The sequence below is a fragment of the Homo sapiens genome, chromosome X (assembly GCF_000001405.40).
Source record: "Homo sapiens chromosome X, GRCh38.p14 Primary Assembly".
Lineage (NCBI taxonomy): Eukaryota > Metazoa > Chordata > Mammalia > Primates > Hominidae > Homo > Homo sapiens.
Genome location: NC_000023.11, coordinates 105,891,041 through 105,911,601, shown reverse-complemented (window position 1 = coordinate 105,911,601; position 20,561 = coordinate 105,891,041). Strand labels below are relative to the sequence as shown.

General features: G+C 36.4%; 1 protein-coding gene across 5 annotated transcripts in view; it reads right to left on the bottom strand.

The window, feature by feature from the left end:
- NRK (Nik related kinase) overlaps positions 1–20,561 on the bottom strand; it is a 136,825-nt gene that overhangs the window by 47,009 nt on the left and 69,255 nt on the right. For all 5 annotated transcript variants that reach the window (XM_011530887.4, NM_198465.4, XM_006724632.4 and 2 more), the window contains exons 6-13: positions 17,660–17,770; positions 16,079–16,169; positions 12,888–13,018; positions 10,930–10,984; positions 6,259–6,337; positions 5,013–5,188; positions 3,299–3,362; positions 1,720–2,875 (exon numbers count right to left, since the gene is read on the bottom strand). In XM_011530887.4, the coding sequence (XP_011529189.1) occupies positions 1,720–2,875; positions 3,299–3,362; positions 5,013–5,188; positions 6,259–6,337; positions 10,930–10,984; positions 12,888–13,018; positions 16,079–16,169; positions 17,660–17,770 (1,863 nt within the window). The remainder of the gene's footprint in view (positions 1–1,719; positions 2,876–3,298; positions 3,363–5,012; positions 5,189–6,258; positions 6,338–10,929; positions 10,985–12,887; positions 13,019–16,078; positions 16,170–17,659; positions 17,771–20,561) is intronic.

Below are 20,561 nucleotides of genomic sequence, written 5' to 3'. Positions count from 1 at the left end.
GGGCCTTGCTTCTCTTGCTGCTCCTACCTTTTCTCATGTTAAACATGTCAACAAATTAGCATTTGTTTAATTGGCTCAATGTGCACAAACTCAAAGAATTCCTTATCTAGATACTCAGATAAAATTCATTTGTAATTATTACAATGATTATTATTGGGTAAATAGATGTGGATAAAAGGGTATAAGTTAGGATCATCACAATGATTCCTTTTACACAAATGGATGTGGGGAGTATTAGAAAACAACTGCTCCCCTAACCTTATCTAACCTCATTAATTTGTTATCAAGCCCATAATTCTTCATTATCAGTTTAGAATCCACCAGATTAAATTCAATAACTCCAGTAAAATTATATTCACTTTTTATTAAAGGATTTTTGAAACAATTACGTTTTAGTGACTGTTCTTAGATAAAATGGAGTTTAACACACTGTATTCCACATTTCAAAAGGGTACAGATGAAACCACCCTTATTAACTTATAAAATTAATCACAGAAGAAGAGAGGGGAAGAAACAAAAATATACCAAGCTTGCAGCACGTTTAGCATTAATCTTTAGGTCAGCTTGCTCTCTGACCTCCTTCCTCAATAGATGTTTGTTGCCTATTTTCCTAGACTCACGTAGACCTTGTTGCAACATCATCATTCCCCTTAACTGCTCTGTAGATAACAACTTGAACATTATGAAATGTTGTTTTTCCTTTGAGATATTTCTTCAGGTCTTGCATACCAGTGAAACTATTGTCAATCAACTGGTCTGAAGGACCCCACTGACGCCAACTGGTCTGAAGGACCCCACAAGAGGCTGACTCATCAAAAAATGCAGTTTCCACATCCTGATGATTTCAAGGACCATCAACCTTACCCTGACCAATCAACAACTCCAATTATCCAGCACCTCACCCTCTACAATCCCCTTAAAAACCCCATCCCAGAACTCCTCCAGGAGATGGATTTGAGGGTCTCCTCCCCACCTCCTCACTCCATGCCCTGCTGATCATTAAACTCTTCTGCTGCATTCTTGATGCATGTGTAATTGGTCTGTTACTATGCAGTGGGCATACGAACCTGTTGGTCTTCTAACACGGAGAATAATTTGTAAATTGTTTCACGTTCTGTGAGGCCACATAATTGATTAATTATGTAAAACGGGCAGCAAATTAGTGAAACAAGTCATAAATATGGTAACCATATACCAAATATTTTGGAAACTGCTTTGCCTTCTCATTTTAACCTTGATTTAAACATCCTGTAGTACAAAAATGAGTGTAATTCACTCAAATAGTATAGTTTGGCATTCTATTGGAAGAAAGAATAAACTAACTTAAAGGTTAGAGTAACAAAAGCAAATTTTGTTTTGTGCTTATTTTTGATGAGTTATCTTTGAAATTTTAAGCTATGAAAGTAATTTTTAAAGATCCAAAATAGTAATTTTTAATGTGCATTCGTTGACACTTTATTGGTTAAAGAATAATAGACAGAAAACTAATAATTAAAGCTATATTTCAGTAGAGATACTGAAAAATATTTTTATCATATTTAGTTACAATTATCTAGAAATTTCATGAAAATTTATTTGAAGTACAAATTATTTAGTATATCTTCTGTAGAACACAAGGAATATTTATTTCATTTGGTTTTACTGAGAAAAAACATCCGCATGAGCTATCACATTTTCTCTTCATTTTTGACTCAGAGTAAAAATATCAAAAATTCTTACTTTATCAACTTGTCTCAATTCTTCCTCATGCTGATTAAAGATATCTTCCCATCTGCGTTGGCGCCTTTGCCTGCGGGCTTCTAAATCCGAGAGTTCAAGCTTTTCAGGTCTCCATGATGACTTTGCCCTGAACCTCTTTGGTGATAGTCTTTTTGCCAGTGCTTGCCTCAGAGTAGAAACTTTTGATTTTTTCTCCCGTGCCTGTTCTGGTTGTGAGTAAAACCTATTTGATGACAGATTTTCCATCAGGGTTTGCAACGGACCAAGTGGCTTTGAGTTATTTGAGTTTGGTGCCCGAAGCAAGTCTCTTGATAGTCCCTCTATCAGTGCTTGAACTGAGCCAATTGCCTGTGGGGGTTCTAGTGTCCAAGCCTGTGCCTGAGGTGATCCTTCAGTTTGCCCCTCTACTGGAATGAGCACCTGAGTATCCAAATGTAGTGGCAACAGCACATGGTGATCTTGTGATAGCAGGGGCAGAAATACCTGGGCATTTACTCGTAATGACTCAGGTTCCTCTGCCTCAGTCTCTGCCTGTGCAGGCTCGGCAGCCTGTTCCTGTACCTCTGGCTGTTCAGGTGCCTGGTTCTGCTCCAGCTCTTGTTCAGGCACCTGGTTGTGCCTCTGCTGTTGTTCAGGGGCCTGGCCCTGCCTTTGTTGTTCGGGTACCTGATCTTGACCCTGAAATTCCTCTGGTACCTGGTCCAAATCTTGTGGTTCTGATGTCTGGGTCTGGGCCTGCTGCTTTTTGGATACCTGGGACTGTACCTGCAGAAGCCTAGGTGCCCTAACCTGTGCCTGTAGTGGCATGAGCACCCTGGCTGCCCTCCGTAGTCGTGGAGGTGCCTTAATCTGCATTTGTAGAGGTTTAGAGGCCTTAGCCTTCACCTGAGCCTGTAGTGGCATGAACACCCGAGCTGCCCCTTGTAGTCGTTGAGGTGCCTGAGCCTGCCCCTTTAGAGGCTTAGGTGCACTGTCCAGAGCCTGCAGTGGCATGAATACCCTGGCTGCTCCCTGTAGCTGCTGAAGTGCCTGGACCTGTGGCTCTTCTCGATCAGGTAGCCACCTTGGCTGAGAGGGTTCCCCATGCAGGACTCTAAGTGGTCTGCATCTGCTGCTGGTTGGCAATCTCAGAAGCTCGTGAGTGCAAGAGGGTCCTCTAAAATAAACACACAAATGATTGGCATACAATTAGAATTTTTAGTGGAATGGAGCCATTCAGGGGCATTGTTTTTACTTTAAAAGATGGACATTTTCTGCAATGAAGATACCTTCAGTAAACCTTTCTGAAATCATTCCCTTGATGTCTGAAATATTCTGCAGGTAACATTTGTATTACTAATGTATTCAATTATTAATGAAATATGATATCTACTTGATCTTCACTTGCCAGATATTAAGGAGTCTTTGGGTAGTAATAAAGAATTCTCACATTTTCACTCAATATCTCTTAAAAACAGAGATTTGTTATTTGTTGTATCAGAAAGAATTAAGTCTTTCTGAACCAAAGGCAACAGTATGGAATCAACGGCCTTATGTGAATTGCTATCATCAAATTATATATGCAATTTGTGGAACGCACCTGAATCTTCTCACGGTGTACTGTTCCTTAATAGCTTCTTCTCTTTCAAAGATCAAAGGTATTCCTTTTTTTACAAAAGAGAAAAACATAATGCATAAACAGTCAGCAGATAAGCATGTTATCCACTTAATCACCTTGTTCCCTCTGCTTCTTAGGATGTGGAGTGAATTACAAGGGCAAGAAGGTAGCCCTTCAAAAGTACTTGGTTTGTGATGTAGACCATATTCTAGTTTCTAGGCCCACTTTTGCAGCACAATATAGCTATTGCATGCAGATTAATTTCTCTGAACAGAGAAAATTTAGCAACTTGATTTCTGCAATTCTAAAGAGGAAGAAGAGAGAATGGGACAAAGGGAGAATGAGACAAGAGAAACTCTAAATAGTGGTGAGCATGGCTTACAGCTGTGGGCTCTAGATGTAAGGACTTTATGGCTTGAGGTTGATATTTGGTCTTTTCAATGAGAAGGCAAATTCTTAATTCTGTGTTTTACACTAAACACATTGAAAACATTCAGCTTCTTTCCTATCATCAGCTGTACTGTGACTACTGAAATATAGAAGATTACAAACAAGAGTTTTATTTTGAATTTCCTATATTAAAATGTTCAGGGCAACTATATTTATATCTTTAGTGTAACTTCCATATAAATGGAACTTTTCCTACAGGTAACATTTTGGAAATTTTGCAATTCTGGAAATTAGCAAATTACCATATAGATGTGTGGTTTTCCTGAACCCATTTGAAACTGGCTGGCCTCTGTAAAGTTGGCTGAATAACTTCATTACCATAGGTAAATAAATTAATTCTTGCTGCTCCTTGCCTCAAAACATGATACATGTATAGATACAACAAGCCCCACTACAATCAATCCCACAGCTGATCTGAGGATGCCTGCTTTTTCAAGTTTTCCCTTTTACATTCCATTGTTACTCTCAACTCTGCCTATGGTCCGCAAAATCAAATGTGGAATATGTAATATAATATATAAAGTTAGGACTTCCCAGGGGCTTCTTCTGGACTTGGTGAAAATCCATCCTGGTACTTTTATTTTTATTTTTTTGAGGCAGCGTCTTGTTCTGTCACCCGGGCTGGAGTGCAGTGGCATGATCTTGGCTCACTGCAAATCCTGCCATTTTTAATAGAAGTTCACTTTTATTAATAGACAGAAGTTTATGTTTATTTGTATAAATCAGTTCCTTTAATTATATTTTATATTTGGAGTTTAGTACATAAAACAAGCTTTGTATGGTGCACAAATACTACTTCAAAATTAGCAGTGAATAAATGGTTAATTACAAATCCATTTATCTCTTGTAGAGTCAAAATACCAGCTGAAAAAAAAGCAAGATATACATTTTGTTACCTTTTATCTTTTATTTATTTTATTTAGTTAGTTACTTAAAATTGGCATATCACAAAACTTTATTGGATGCTTTCAAGGTCTTCATAAATATGAACATTTGCCAGGTGTAACTGGCAAGAATTAGTAACTATACACACACACACACACACACACACACACACACACACACACACACGCAAGAGAAAATTAAATAAGAGCACATGGCATATTATTGGCAAAACTAAATATCAAAGGCCTCAGAAGTTTTATTTTCAATCTAAGTCTTAAACAAATATTACTTTTTCCTGGAAACAATACATGAATAAACTCTGAATATTCATTTCAGTAAAATAAAACTTAACAGATTCTACCTTTTTTCTGTCTTTTTTTAATGATTCCAGTAAGATGCCTTGTTAATGACTCAACAACATGTCGTTCATTTTTTATATCCCGAACAAATGGGTGTTGAAGCATGTTTGCAGAAGTAGGACGAAACAGGAAATTTTTTATCGTACACTTTTCCATGAAATTGTGGAACTTACGGGACCTAAAAAATGAGTCAAAGAGAGGAAAAAAAAGTGTTCTCAGTCCTGTCAGACCTCTTCCCACCACCACCCACATGCCTCTCTGAAAATCATATTTGGAGAGAGTTGCCTTTAGGTATTATTGTCTTCTCAATTGCCAAATATCCTGCAGTTTGGCAACATACGTTATAAAGTGAGGCCATTTAGACCTCAGAAAAAGAAGCAAGAGTCAATAGCATATTCCATCTAAATTACAGTAGAAGTTTCAATGAGTTAACTGTATGTACCTGGTAAAAACTCAAGTGCAGATATGATGATTAAATGGTTAATGTGATATATGTAGTCTGCAAGACTAGATTGATCGGCCCACAGCAGTCATACTCTGTATTTTTCATTTGACTATATGCAGTTTTAACTACAGAGGAATGAATATAATGATCCAAAAATAGGATGTTAAAAGCACCAGGACTAACTAATCTTGTAAAATGACCCATGAAAACAGATGTGGCCATAAAAACTGAATCCATGGAAAGGGTTAAATTGAATTCCAATGCAGAATGTTAACAATCAAATCACAGTCACCACTTCTACCAGGGAAAGCAATAAAAACTAATAATAAGCAAGAGTTTCAGGTACAAGATCAACAAGCTTCAGAGAGAAGGATTCCCAAGTTTAGCTGGCATGTAAGTGCCCTGGGAAAACAAGTCTTCTGCTCTAGGTCTGTGTGTGTTTGGTTTAATGTACTAATCAACAGGGCTGCATATAACTGACTGCCTATATAAGCAACACAAGAAACTTCACAAATAGTTGCCATCAGTTCATCCCATTACTGGGGAAACAACTGAACATGCCCATTAATGGCAGTACAGTAATATCATCAGAAAATACTATAGAGGATATTACTTATTTATAGTTGGCTAGCTACCTCTTAATGAAAACTGGTCATTTAGACCTCCCAGTTAAGATATTAGACTTTAGGAAATATTGTCCAACCAGGATGGTGCAGCAGGACTGACCAAATGAATTAAAACTTCTTTGCTAACATAAAAATGTCAAGTCAATGTAATTAGGAGATTAAGACATTCATCTTTACCATCCGCTGGATTTGACTGTGGGAGCAGATTCCCGCAAAATAACGAAGAGAGCTTCCAAGGGTTGAAGGTTACACAGAGCTGCAAAGGGAAATAGATAAATTTAGAAAGAATGAGAAGGGTAACTAAAGAACACACTCCTTATTCCAGAGGGGATTCTCAGTGATCTTTCACATATTATGTTGAGTAGACACTAAGGGACAAATAGATACAAAAGAATGTATTTCAAAAGAAAAAGAAAAGCTCGTTTTAATGCAATGTTGCAATATATAAGATTCTCAAGTTTCACTATCACCAAGTAGGATAAATTAATAATAAACTAGACAAAATATTTGAAATGTATAGTTGATAATTTATATCTAGAAAAGTTAACTGAAAGTGAAACAAGCACACTTCTATGTTTTTGTATTGCAGGTATTTAGTTATAAAATTGGAATATGTAATTACAGACTGAAAAATTCAACCAGACTACTAGCTTAGTACAATAATATTTAAAGAACAATGATTTAGTAGTCTAGAAAGCTTAGAAGCATCTGTTTTGGAAGCTGAGAGTTCTAGAAAAAAAAAATAGGTATAGTGCAACTGTTAAGAATACACCCCCTAGAGTAAGATCATCTGCGTTCAAACCTAGCTCTACCTTTGTGACTGGGCAAATTACCTAGCCTATCTGTATCTTGGTTTCTTCACCTGAAAAACAGGAAATGTAGCAGGAGGAATCCCTTCAAAGAATTGTTGTGAGGATTAATTAGAAACTTACAAGTAAAAGTGTATTTACCTCATAAATATATACATCTATTATGTATGCACAAAAATTTTTTAAATAATTTTTAAAATCCCCTCAAAAGTATCTGACATGTAGTAGATGCTAAATAAATATCAGCTATTGATATTATAACAAAGATGTTAACTCTATGGCACTTTGAGACTGTGCCAAATTACTGGACATTCATTCTCTCTTTCATACACACAGGCATAAAAATAAAAACCTATTCCAATATGTGCTATATAAATTAATTACCTCATTGGTTTGGGAAATTTGGTTTTTTCTATAAGTGTTTAAATATGTCTCACTTATTTCCTCTTGTGTTTTGATTAAAGAAAGTTGGCAGTGCAAAAAATCCCCAATGGAGAACCACAGTGTCAATTTCATCTAACATTACAAGTGTGTCATTCTTGTAAGGATAATTTGATATTAATGACTCTTGATAGAGCCATCCTTTCTCTCCCAAAATGCATCCTCAGAAATACCTAAAGTGACAAACTGGCCTTTCATAGTAGTAGACAAAAACTCCACAGAGTGATTTTATTAGGGCTATACAAAGGCAATTGTTTAAAGGCCAAGCTTTGTTTTCAATTACATGGGTATAAATTAATAGAAGATGCATTTTTATAACTGAAGGCAGAATTAGCTCCAAGTACAAAGTATCAGGATCATATTTAACCCTTTTTATTCTTTTACTATGTCCAATCAGTCTCCAGTTTCTGTCCTTTAAACTTATTGTAAGGGAGTTGGTACAATATTAAGCAGTTGTCATTTATTAACATCTGGGCAACAGTTAGTCCACTGACAACATCTTCAGGGGTCAAGAGCTAGGACACAGACTAGGTAAGTTTTCTTTAACGGAAAGGAAAAGTTCACAAAGGAATGGAGCATAGGGTGGGTACAAGAGCTATGTCAACAGTAGCTGTTTATGGTTTCCTATATAGTCTAATTTCAGGAATGTCAGTAACTGCCCCCTCCAACCTATATCTCATAACACTACCTAAATGTTCATCATTAGAGGCTCATTCCTTTGAAACAGCAAGCCTCCCTTAAAAATCACATTATCTCTTGAAGGGTTGGACACATATTAAATTGGGCTTAGTCTGAATTAGGTTAAATAATGTGATTTATTCTTAACACATGTTGAGATCTGAGGGAATCTTCTGAATATTGAAGGAATAAGCCTCTTGATGGGATGGGGTAGATTTGAGCCACAATGCACTCAGGTAAAGACAGACATGGGGTATGAGAGAGTGACACTACAAGGGATAGAAGTAGGACTATAAAGAAGCATCATTGAGAATATTTAAAATGATCTACAATATCAAGGAGAATGCAAAAATAGGGGAAAATATGGTCCAGGTTAAGGCAAGTTGACTAGTGTACAGCTTTGCCAAGAAAGGGGTGTCAGGCTTAACTATTGATCCTATCCCGCTTCTCCTCCAGGCACAGATTATCTTTTCTATAAAAGATAGAGACTAAAAACCACATCTATTCAAAATTAACCTATGATACTCTGATGTTTGGATGATTATTATAAATGTTCTGGCCTTGGTATAAAGGTCCCCGTATTGTTTGAATTCCTACCCAGAAACTAGGGACTGAAGGGGTTCCTGGTTTACAAGTGTCCAGTTCTCTCTTTCTAGAGCCACTACAACAGTGGTCCCCAAACTTTTTGGCACCAGGGACTAGTTTCGTGGAAGACAATTTTTCCATGGACCTAGGGGTAGGGGGTTGGTTTGGGGATGAAACTGTTCCATCTCAGAACAGCAGGCATGAGTTGGATTCTCATAAGAAATATACCACCTAGATCCCTTGCATGCTTAGTTCACAATAGGGTTCCCACTCCTAGAAGAATCTAATGCCGTTGCTGATCTGACAGGAGTCAGAGCTCAGGTGGTAATGCTTGCTCACTTGCTCGCCGCTCACCTCCTGCTGTGTGGCCCAGGGTTTGGGAACCTATGCCCCATGGCATCCTATCAAGGAGAAGTTATTCTTTCTCTCTCTTTACTTCTCTGGAAAAGACTCACCAAAGGAAGACCAAAGGAAGAGAATTTTGTTATCTGGAACTCAGAGGATATTATCAGATAATTGTCACTTTGGAAGGCCATCCCTTATGAGATAATAATTATCATAACCTGGAGGATTTCTGCAGTTAAACTGATGACAATTATTTCCATACAAAATTAATATTCCAGGCAACAAAGGACACCGGTAAAAGAGAAATGTTTTAGTAGGGAGGCTATTTAGGGCTGCTCTTGACCAAAGTTGTATTACTCCAATTACTGACCCAGGCAGGCCAGCCCTATTTTCTCCCTTTGTGAGTTCCAAATCTCCTGGCCTTCACTTATCTTTTGTAAGAAGCTTGCCATTTGTGTAATCTGTGCAAAACTCCTTCTCTGCACTCCTGTGAGTTTGCTCAGCAATACTTTTTCCCGTAACTTAATATTTTGGAATAAAAAAAAAAAGTGAAACAAACGAAGGTGACCCAGGAAGTACAAACTGGAAAACATAGAAAGTTGGTTTCCCGGAAAGGCATGGTGAGGAGCATTCAGAAACAATGGAAAAAAGATACTACTCAATGCAGGCATGTATCCTAACCAAATCCATGCATCAATACTAATATGAAATATTAGTTGCTGCTGCTCAATTTAACATAATCTAAGTATGTTTCCAAAACAGAAATAATCAGGAGATGATGAGGAATAGTCCACATCCCCTCAGTATAATTTCAATTTTATATATGTGTCGTATGTAATCTTCTTATTGTTTAACATTTTCCATTATTAATTTTTTATTCACCCAACTTAGGTACTTTGCTGATTTGGGGGCATTATAATACAGGCAAGAAGCAACATGATCTCCACAGGTGTCCTAGCTTTATCCCAGCCCCTCTTTAATATTCCAAGGGATACCAGGAATTTTCAACAATTATGTTACCATTATTTCTATTTCTTGAAATTCCTCTCATTGGCCTTGAAACAAAATGCTAAGATAGTTCAAGCTCATAAAACTTGATGGGTGGACATTTTGCAGATAGAGCATACAAGAACATGGGAACCTATAGGATCTGCTTTGGAGAGGGGAAAGCAAAGCAACCCTCCCCATACCCCAGAAGGCATTACTTTACACTTCTCATCCAACAATACCAAAGATGCATTGTCATTTATACTTTTGGATTTTAGGTACTAAGGACAGCAAATATGCCATGCTCTGGAGTCACACATTAGATGGTTATCAATCACTTATACCCAGTTTACATTCCATTTTTACTTTCCTATCAGAAAGCAGTGCCTTGAGAGAACAGGATGCTAACAGGTCATTTAAATGATGGGGAGGTAGAGAAAAGAAGATGAAATGGGCGCTGAGGTAGCTGAAAGGAGTAAAGAGGGCACAAAGGTAAGTTGAATTGACTCCAGAGGAAAAAAAAAACAGGCTTACTTCTTGACATTAGCTCAATTTCAATGAAATGCTGGAGAATTTTCTCAACTATCACAGCCTGAGGCAGTAGCACTGTGTGACTGTAAATGTTCTGGAATCTAAATATTCCACCAGGAAATATAGACTGGAACGCCAACCAGAATCCTTATTCTGGTTGCTCAGGACTGTCAGGACCAAATACTACTGAGACTAAATGGAAACAACACTCAGTCAATGTAAAATAAGATATTATAAGAAAGAAAAGTACAAGCTGATTTATATACCCACATCTAGCTATTCTGAAGAAAGCATTTGGTAATCACTGAAAAGGCCACCATTCGTAGTTTGGCACATAGTATGACACCTGTGTGGCCAGTGAAAGCTGAGTGGTACAAGTGGCAATCTCATCTTCTTCGACAGAGAGAGATTTGTATGATTTGTACAGTACATTTCCCTAATCTTTAACAAATATCAAACATTTTTTACTCACGAGGGGCTCCTTCAGCCATTTCAATGGCAGTAATTCCCACAGACCACACATCACTCTGCAAAGACAAAGATGACAAAAAAGTCACTTAAAAATAGGAAATTGGTAGTATTTAGAATCTCAAAACAATGTTTAGCTGGGGGTGTGGATGTCAATGCCAGAGCTCTTTTATGGGTTTCCCATAATGAAGCTTTATTATAGAGTGACATTATAGGAAGACATAATCTGAGCTACTGACCAGCCAGTACCTCACTACACAACAGGTTGATAGGGAATGGAGTTAAGCTCAAGGAAAGTTCATCTTGGATGCATTGATATTATCGTTTTACCTGAAATACCAAAAGAAACTTGCCATAAAGACATTTTATTACATAGACCCACCAGTTGTATCATCTTGGGCAAATGTTTTAACTCCCTGTGCCTTAATTCCACTCTAAGTAAAATGGTGATAACAATAGCATACACTTACATAGGACTGATATGTGTGTGTGTGTGTGTGTGTGTGTGTGTGTGTGTGTGTGTGTACTTCAGCAGTTCCTGGAATATACTAAACTAAGACTAGAAAAAGACTCTAGAAAATTCTCTTCACTACCAACTGTTTAGTACTTTTTTTCTTCAGAGTGTGGAAAGGGCACAGGGCTAGAGATACAACGGCTGGCTAAATGACTCCTAAACAGGTTTACTGAATTCTCTTTTTTTTTCTTCCTTGAGACAGAGTCTCACTCTGTCGCCCAGGCTGGAGTGCGATGGTGTAATCTCGGCTCACTGCAACCTCTGCCTCCTGGGTTCAAGCGATTCTCTTGCCTCAGCCTCCCGAGTAGCTAGGATTATAGGTGCCTGCCACCACGCCTGGCTAATTTTTTGTATTTTTAGTAGAGACAGCATTTCGCCATGTTGGCCAGGTTGGTCTCGAACTCCTGACCTCAGGTGATCTGCGGCCTCGGAGGTTAACTGGATTTTTAGAACCCTAGTTGATAGATTTCTTAGCTTGAGTTGTGATAGTCTATGCTTAAGACTTCTTTCAGTTACATGGTGCTAAAAACTAAAAATAAATAACGAATACAGGTGAAAGTCCTTGGAAGACTGCAAAAAGTATACAATTATAAAGCATTATTTATAAAAAGCCACTTGAAGAACATGCTTCCATAGTCTTCGTAGCTCCTAACAGCACCGAACATAATAGACTCTCAGTAAATAATTATTTTGCAGATCATGTAAAGGGCACTTAAGGAAAGGGAAAAGAGATGAATCTTAATCAACTTCAAGTTTTGAGTCCTAGGTTCCACTCAGGGAGACCACAATTAATTGTTTGGACTTATGTGGAGAGTGAGTGAGGTTTTTCCAGTCTATAGCAAATGCAGAGTTTTCTTTCCACATCAACCTTTTGAAATGTGTACATGGATATATGTATATTGTTCAAATTGCAGTTTCAGTGGAAATTTTAATAAATAGCATGAATTGTTACTTAATTTGTCTATTACACTGATTTTCTGTGGTTTTGGAAGTGAAACATGCCAAGGATTTTCTCCATTACCCTGAGTAATCAAATTATTTTTTGTCTTTTCTGGAGCTAAGTTACTGTGGGGGTTAATAATTGGCTTTACATTTATTCATTTTTAAGTTTACAATGCCCTTTGCTCCTGGAAGTTAAATTTTTATATACATATAAATCCACATTATATAATATTTTTACCAATAGGTTGCAAGCAACATAAACCACACATTCTGCCTCAAATGCAGGTAACTCTCAGTGGTATATACTTTGTCCACATTCTCAGAAAATATTATTTTATGAATATAATCAAACCACTTACCGAAATAGAGGCTTGTATTTCCTACTAGCATTTAATGTAAAATGTGGAGCTGCCTGCTTTTTATTTTTTGTTTTATCATTAAAAATAAATGTTAATCAAAAATCCTTTCCAAATTGTAATTTCCACTGGCTGAATTCTCACACTCACTCTGTAATCATAGGAGCGTCTTGGGTCCTCATCACAGTCAATCACCTCAGGTGCCATCCAGTATGGTGTCCCAATGAAACTATTCCTTCTTCCATTAGTTCTGCTCACCTGGGCACTCACTCCAAAATCAACTGCCAAAAATCATTATATGTCAAAATAATCAATCAGGAGAAAAAAGCTTAATAAGTTATTGCTTTAACTTGGAAAGCTGATACAAAAGCCACAATGGATAACAGATTTTCATTCCAGCCTAGCAAACTTTACCATGAAGTCTACTCCAGGAATACTGGGAAATAAGCTTTTCCTGCTATTTATTTTGGAATGAGACTCAGCAGTGCTATTATAAATCTACAGTAGGTTTGGCTGATTGTTTACCATGAATATTAAAAATAATGTTCTGTCGGGACACTCTGAACCTCCGAAATGATAACATATGTAGTGTTTGGACCTGGGAACCAAGCTGGAGGAAGACCAGAACTATAAGCAAGAACAAAGAAATCTAAAACTTATTAGCAGTTGATCAGGAAGCCTCACACATGATATGAGAAGGCTCTATCACACTGATAAATAAAAATGAGTTTTTCTGCTAGAATTTAGTTTAAATTCCTACATAGACCTTTTGAATCAGATGCAGGTATTTACTGTGGTATCTACATCTTAGCTTAGATTATAAAAGTTCAGTCTTCTATTCATCTGTGGGATACATTATAAGAAAATATTTGGTATGGTATCCTCAGAAACAGAAAAAAGGCTGAAGTAGGCTGGGGTTATTTATTCCAGAAAAAATAAAACAGGGATGAAAAATGAAGTAGATTTTCTAATTTAGAATGGTTTCCAGGAATCCAGAGGATGGCGAACAAAACTGACTAAAAAGAAGCTTCAGGAATTTAGGGGAAGAGAAGAAAAAGGAAAAAGAAAAACCTAAGAGTTTAAGGCAGTTTTAGAGGATCTAACAAGAACGACAACAACAAAAAAATGTCCACAATATTTGTGAAGATCACCATTGGGTGTTGTGCCATGTTTTTATCTAGATTTTTAAAAAGAAACAGGTTAAATAATTGCCCAGCATTCTCACTATCCCTGTGAACTGGCATTAGGGGCCAAGAATTACCTAGGAAGGCCATAAGTTGCTATATGGCACATATCCAGAGGAGAAAATGAAAGGAGAAAAGACTAGAAGACTGATTAATAGAAGAAAAGAAAAAAGAGCAAGAGAAAGAGAAATGAAAGCCAAGACGAGATGAAACCTCAACAATGGCATAATTTAAAGTTTTCTTTCATGACCTTACAGGCTGGAATATGAAGATTATCGAGCAATTGCAACTGCAATATAATCATTTTTCCATCTCTTTCCCTTCTATCAGTTCCTTTGGCTGTCATTAGGTTTGCTTTCTGAAACTTTCTTCTTATACTATGTTGCTTAAAAACAACTATAATCTTAAAAATTTAAAACAAATTGTAAAAGAATTAAGTGCAAAATATGTGTGATTAAATTTTATAATGTGTTACTTCAAAATAATGATAATCTGAGAAATCTAGAACAAACTGTACAGGGACTACATGTAAAGTAAATCTGATTAAACTCTAATCCAGCAGTAGAAGGTCTCTCCTCCAGAGGAAGGTACATGAACTTTAGTGCATGGACATTGTGACAGATATTTCAGTGGTTTTTCATTTACATACAATTTCTCTTTTGTGCTGTAAATGTTTGCGTTGACCAGCAACTTGACACAAGTATATGACAGTGTTGCTCTATATGCGAACACAGTGTTTAGCCTTGTGATTAACTATCTATCCTGCGTATTTAAATGTGAAGTATGTATGCCCTTCATGTATTTTTTACATTTTCATTGTTTATTCATTTATTGTTTAGAGACAAGGTATCTCTCTGCCACCCAGGCTAGAGTGCAGTGGCACAATCATAGTTTACTGCAACCTCAACATCCTAGGCTCAAGTGATCCTCCTGCCTCAGCCTCTCGAGTAGCTGGGACCACAGGTGCGCACCACCATGCCCAGCTAATTAAACATTTTTTTTTTGTAGAGATAGGGTCTTGCTATGTTGCCCAGACTCCTCTTGAACTCCTGGTCTCAAGTGATCCTCATGCCTTGACCTCCTAAAATGATGGGATTATAAGTATGAGCTACTGCACCTGGCCTCTCCTTATGTATTTTAAAATTGTGTTTCTAGCTTTATAGCTTTTAGACAGACACAAAAGAAATAATACACTCTCTTGAAACTACTTTCACTTATTCCAAGAATAAACAATTACTACCTCATGCTTCTTCCACAAATGTTCAGTGAAAAATGTTCCTAATGAATGAACAAAATCTCTACTCTTGTTCTATCTATTTAGCAAGAAAATGGGAAATATCTTAAGGTCATGTTCAGACACATGTTTACAAACTGTTGAAAAATAATGCAAGTGACTTATCCTCTATATCCATGGGATTATCTGCCACTACAATGTACTGACATGATTTTTATGGTATTATTCTAAAAACTATTGATATTTATTTTACACATTAAAGGGTACAATATATTGTTCCCTATGAGCTTAAGGACAAGAAAATCAGAAAGTATGTGTGGTTATTTTCAAGTAAATTATATAACTCTGAATTCTGGCATAGAAAGCTAGGTACTTCCAGTCTTTTGATTTATAATTCTGAACTTGACTTGCATATTATTGGAGCATCGATTCTGATCAATATCATTTCTTTACATATCTGAAAAAATCCAAAGAAGCAATTCATCCTTACATAATTTAAAAGTTATTTGATATTCTTGAGAAAATATGACTCTGTCATGTGAAATAATTTTTTTATTTTTTTAAATCCCTTCCCTTGGCATCGAAATTTGCACATGGTAAATACTCAATTCAATTGTTGAAATAAATATAATAGCTATTTCTAATAGAGGGTAAAGCGATGGCCAAAAAGTAAATCCCCATTATAATTCAAAAGTTGTTTTATCTACATGATTTCAAAGAAGCAGGTATGTGCATCCTCTTTCTTTTGCCCCGCCTCCTCTCCCAAACAAATTTTCAAATTTTGACTGGTTTTGCAGGCAGGGAAAACCCAGCTCAAATAAGTAGAGGATATTGGCAGGGACATGATAGAAAGCATAGTTATCTTAAAGGAGCTTTCTCCATTAAGATGTTTTGGACTTAAAATACTATAAGAATAAACTTACCCAGTTTTACTTCAGCATTATGAGTCAGCAGCACATTCTGACCTTTGATGTCCCGGTGAATTACTCGGTGTGCGTGAAGGTGAGCTAAGCCCTGTATATATTTTTTAAAAAGCCACATCAGTATATATTTCTTTCTTTCTTTCTTTCTTTCTTTCTTTCTGGTACAGTTCTTAGTATTTTTGGAAAAACTTTTGATAAGAGAAACAGCTTAATTTTGATGTTTCAGACACAATTCTTTCTTTAGGCTGGAATCACTACAACCCGTTCCCAGAAATATGACTTTTGGCTATAAGGAAAGGAAAATAAATCAGGACACCCACGAAAAAAAAGAGCACCAAAAGTAATGTTTGTATACATTGGGCCACTTTACCTTCCTTTTTAGCCTCCGTATTTCCAACTAGCCATAAGAGTAAAGATCTGGACATCTTGAATATCACAGCTCAGCTATAGTTTTGCTCTATTTCTTACCCAACCATTTGTTTAGTCCAAAATATTTTCTAGTCAGCTTTGTAGGCTGAGAATTTAGGGGAATGTGGAAATTCATTTTACAGCATTTGTAATCTGTGTTGGCTTAACACTTTGGCTCTAGCCCATTCACCACTAAAATTTACCCATGACCTGGCTAACCCATGATGTGGTATGCAATGTTAAGCTGTAGTGAGACTGCCTCAGACACTAACTGGAGATTCATAATAAAGTAACAATAAAACTGCTAACATTTATTGAGCCCTTATTCTTTGCCAAGGATTGTACTAAGTGCTTTACATGGAGTAAATTACTAATTCCTCTCAGAAACCCTTTGAGGAAGGTGTTAATATCACCCTTATAATATAGATGAGGAAAGTGAGCCTTGGAAATATTAAGTAACAGATTCCAAGTAATAAAACTTATCCTTAGTAAACTAAATGTAAACTCAGCCCAGAGTTTGAACTCTCAACCATTTACACTATTATCACAAGTGAATCCAACCAAAATGACAGGAAGGACATTCTAACATTGTATGAGTAGTACTGTTCAATTCTGTTAATATCCTTCTTGGATGACCCTAAGAACTGAAGTCACAAAAGATGGAATTTGGTACATCAAGAAGATTGTTGCTCTCATCCAACTGGGTGTGGAAAATAAAGAAATTTAAAAAGGGGGCAGTAATCAAAGAAAATGTTTGTCTGCCAAAAGGCTACAGTTGGTTTGAGGCCATTCCATAAAATACTGACTTCTTCTGACTCATCTTCATCTTAATCTATGATGCTTGTGCTATGTTTTTGTTTAAAGAACTCTAAAATAATAACAACATAATAAATAATCCAAGTGGTCATTTCCATGATCCACTGAACACAGTAGTCTTAATCCGACAGAGGTATTAAAGGCCATGATTTCAAAGGAGTTTGTTACCCAGCTTATTTAAAGGCGTCAGCTGCAAATTGGCTTTCTCAAAAGCTTTTTGGCCTTTTCAGATATCCTGATGCACAGGTTATGTTTGGAATACCTAAACTATCTGATGTGAGCAGGTATAAGGTGCATTGTATATATTACTCCCAGGTTCTTAAAAGATCAGAAGAGAATGACTGTATGAAGACTCACCTGAAGGATTTCTCGGCAGATATAAGCAATCCAATCTTCTTTTAAACTCTGATTACTGGTCATTCTCACTACATCAGTGACCGAACCTGCTGCACATAACTCCATCACCATCTGCAGGAAAGCCAGCAAAGTATAAAAAATTAGTGTCCAATTTTCTGAAAATATCTGGAGAGTTTTAGTCCATATGGCTTGTATCTATATGTAATGTTTAGAGATTAAGGCACTGCAAGTACTGCCTCAATTGTCTGATGGAAGACTCCAAAGGCTAGCGAAATTAGAGAGAGTTGGATTAAAACCAAAGATTTGTGGAGGCAGAGAAGCCAGGTATTTCACCAGAGATATTTAACTGGAAGTTGGGGTTTGAGCTATGTCTTGAAGGATAGGTGGTGTTTGTATATGCTTAAAAGGAAGAACATTCCATTTATGGAAAACTAAATAAACACATGCTTTTAGAAAGAAGTTTGTGCAAGGAACAAACCTAAGTGACGACTGGAATGGGAAGGAAAGGATGGTCAAGGAAACAGTTTAATCAGGGGTGAAGAAGCAAAATATGGAGGGTCTCAAAAGAGTTTACATTTCAACATTAAGGCTAGGTTTGGTTTTTGTTGTTTTGTTTTTATTTTCAAATTCCAAACTATTTTCTTCAAGATACTGGCAAGCTACAACTCCAAGGTGGAATTTGTCAATTGCATTCCTGTGGGATAATTTCATCCAAATGGGATTGCTACTAAGGAAAACCTATTTTAAAACTAATATCTTCAATAATATTTCATTCAGATTTTATTGTATTAATAAACTCAGTTTCTCAGAAAGTTTATTTTTGACACATATAAATTGAGGGCCCAACTAGTAAATTTTCATCCAGGTAATATGAGTTAACTAAAGAGTGATGTACAAGAGCATATAACTATTATAATTATCCTAGCAATATTTTCTTTGAGTACAGGTTTATGTATTACTGCCCACTTCAAAAATACTTTATCAAAAGAGCAAAATGTCTTTTTTTAACTTTGTGCAAATTAATTATCACCATAGATGAATGGAAGCAAAAGGATAAACTCAAAATCATGACTATTCAAAAAGTCTACCTTACTTCCTGTGGAATATTAAGATCTTCTTTTCAGAAAACTACTCCCCTAATTTACGGTTATTCACCATTGATATTATTGCATGTCTTTCACCTGAGTACACTTTCACCAAAAAGAAGAAGAGACAGCCAAACAAAACGAAAACAGATAAGCCACAAAAAGTTGATTTTCACGTGGAGAATTAAGCATTGACTATATTGAATGGGCACAACATGTACACTGTGGTAACTCCTCATTTTCAACCATGACAAACCAGAATTAAAGCCATTCAACTAACATAAACCCTGGAAGATCTTGCTTATATTATGTGAGTCAGAAGAGCTCAACTATAAAAGGAATGTAAGACATTCTCAGTAATTTTCCTAACTTTGTAAGCATGGTGCCTGGTACGTACACTTCTTTATTAATGGTCATTATTAAGCTATTTACTTACTTCCTATTTGTTTTTCTGATTTATATAGGCCAAAATTTGTGAAGTGTCCCATGAAAATTCTTATCTTCACAAATAATTTATGCATTAAATGTTTATTCATCCTTCAGATCTCAGTTCAAGCTTTTATTCCTCAAGGAAGTTTTTCTCATTTCCCAGCTTAATTAAGGTTTGTTATTCACCCACAGACAGCCATGATATTTCTCTTCTGACCAATTATACATTTATGTGTGTGATTATTTGATTGACGCTGGTCTTTGCAAATAGATTGTAAGCACCACTGGGTCAGGAGCATGTCTATTCAGCTTACCATTTTATCCTCAGCATCTAGCACAACACCTGACAAATAGATAGTTTTCAATTGATATATGTTGAATGCCTGAATGAACTGAGTACTAATACATATCCAGTAAGGAGACTGCAAAATTTCTCACACTTTGCTATACTATCAAGAGGAAAAAAAAACTTGTAAGTGAAAATATATAAAAAAGACAAATGGTATATGCCAAAAAAAATTCCTCAGTAACTAAACTATGCAGCCATATTTACTAAAATCTCAACTGGAATTGTCAGAGAATAGAGGATGCATGTTAACTGGACATCTGAGAGAAAACAGAGTTAAGCTGAAGGTCTATAAATTTGGTGGTTCTCAAAGTGTGGTGATCAGTCCAGCAGTAGCAGCAGCATCACATATGAACTTATTAGGAAGGATAATTTTTTGGACCCACACCCCCAAATCTACTGAATCAGAAATTCTGTGAGTGACGCCCAGAAATAGGTGTTTTATCAGGCTCTCTGGGAGATTCTGATGGCTGCCAAATTTAGAGAACCACTGTTTCAATTCCACCCCTTGTTGAAAACCTTTCTATAATGTCCACTGTCCTATTTTCTGAAGTCCATTATTTAGAATGTAATAGAATACTTTATTGCCACTTGAAGATACTGAAAAGCTTTAGTCATTATTTTGAAAAAATACTACTAACTTGGACATGGAATGGAAATGCAGCAAGTATAGAGATTCAAGTGTATACTAACCCCACCTTATATTCTAAATATTCAATTTTTAATAAAGACATCCTTGACCAAAACTGATTTTCTTGTGATTTAACTATTTTTACCACAGTGGAGGGCAGCAAAAATTCTGGTAACTGTGACTTAGGTAGCATAGGTTCCATTTATCCTCTACAATTTATATCTTATTGATCTAGAATTTGTGATACACCAGGCATAATGACTAAGAAAAGGATAAGTCAACTTACCATTTGGAAAAGAGTTTCTTAGGAGTTATGTTTATCCATAAGCGCATATACTTTGCAAAAACTTAAAATGCACCCATATGCTCATGTCAAGTGCTAATTAGAATTTATCCTTATCCAGTCATTAT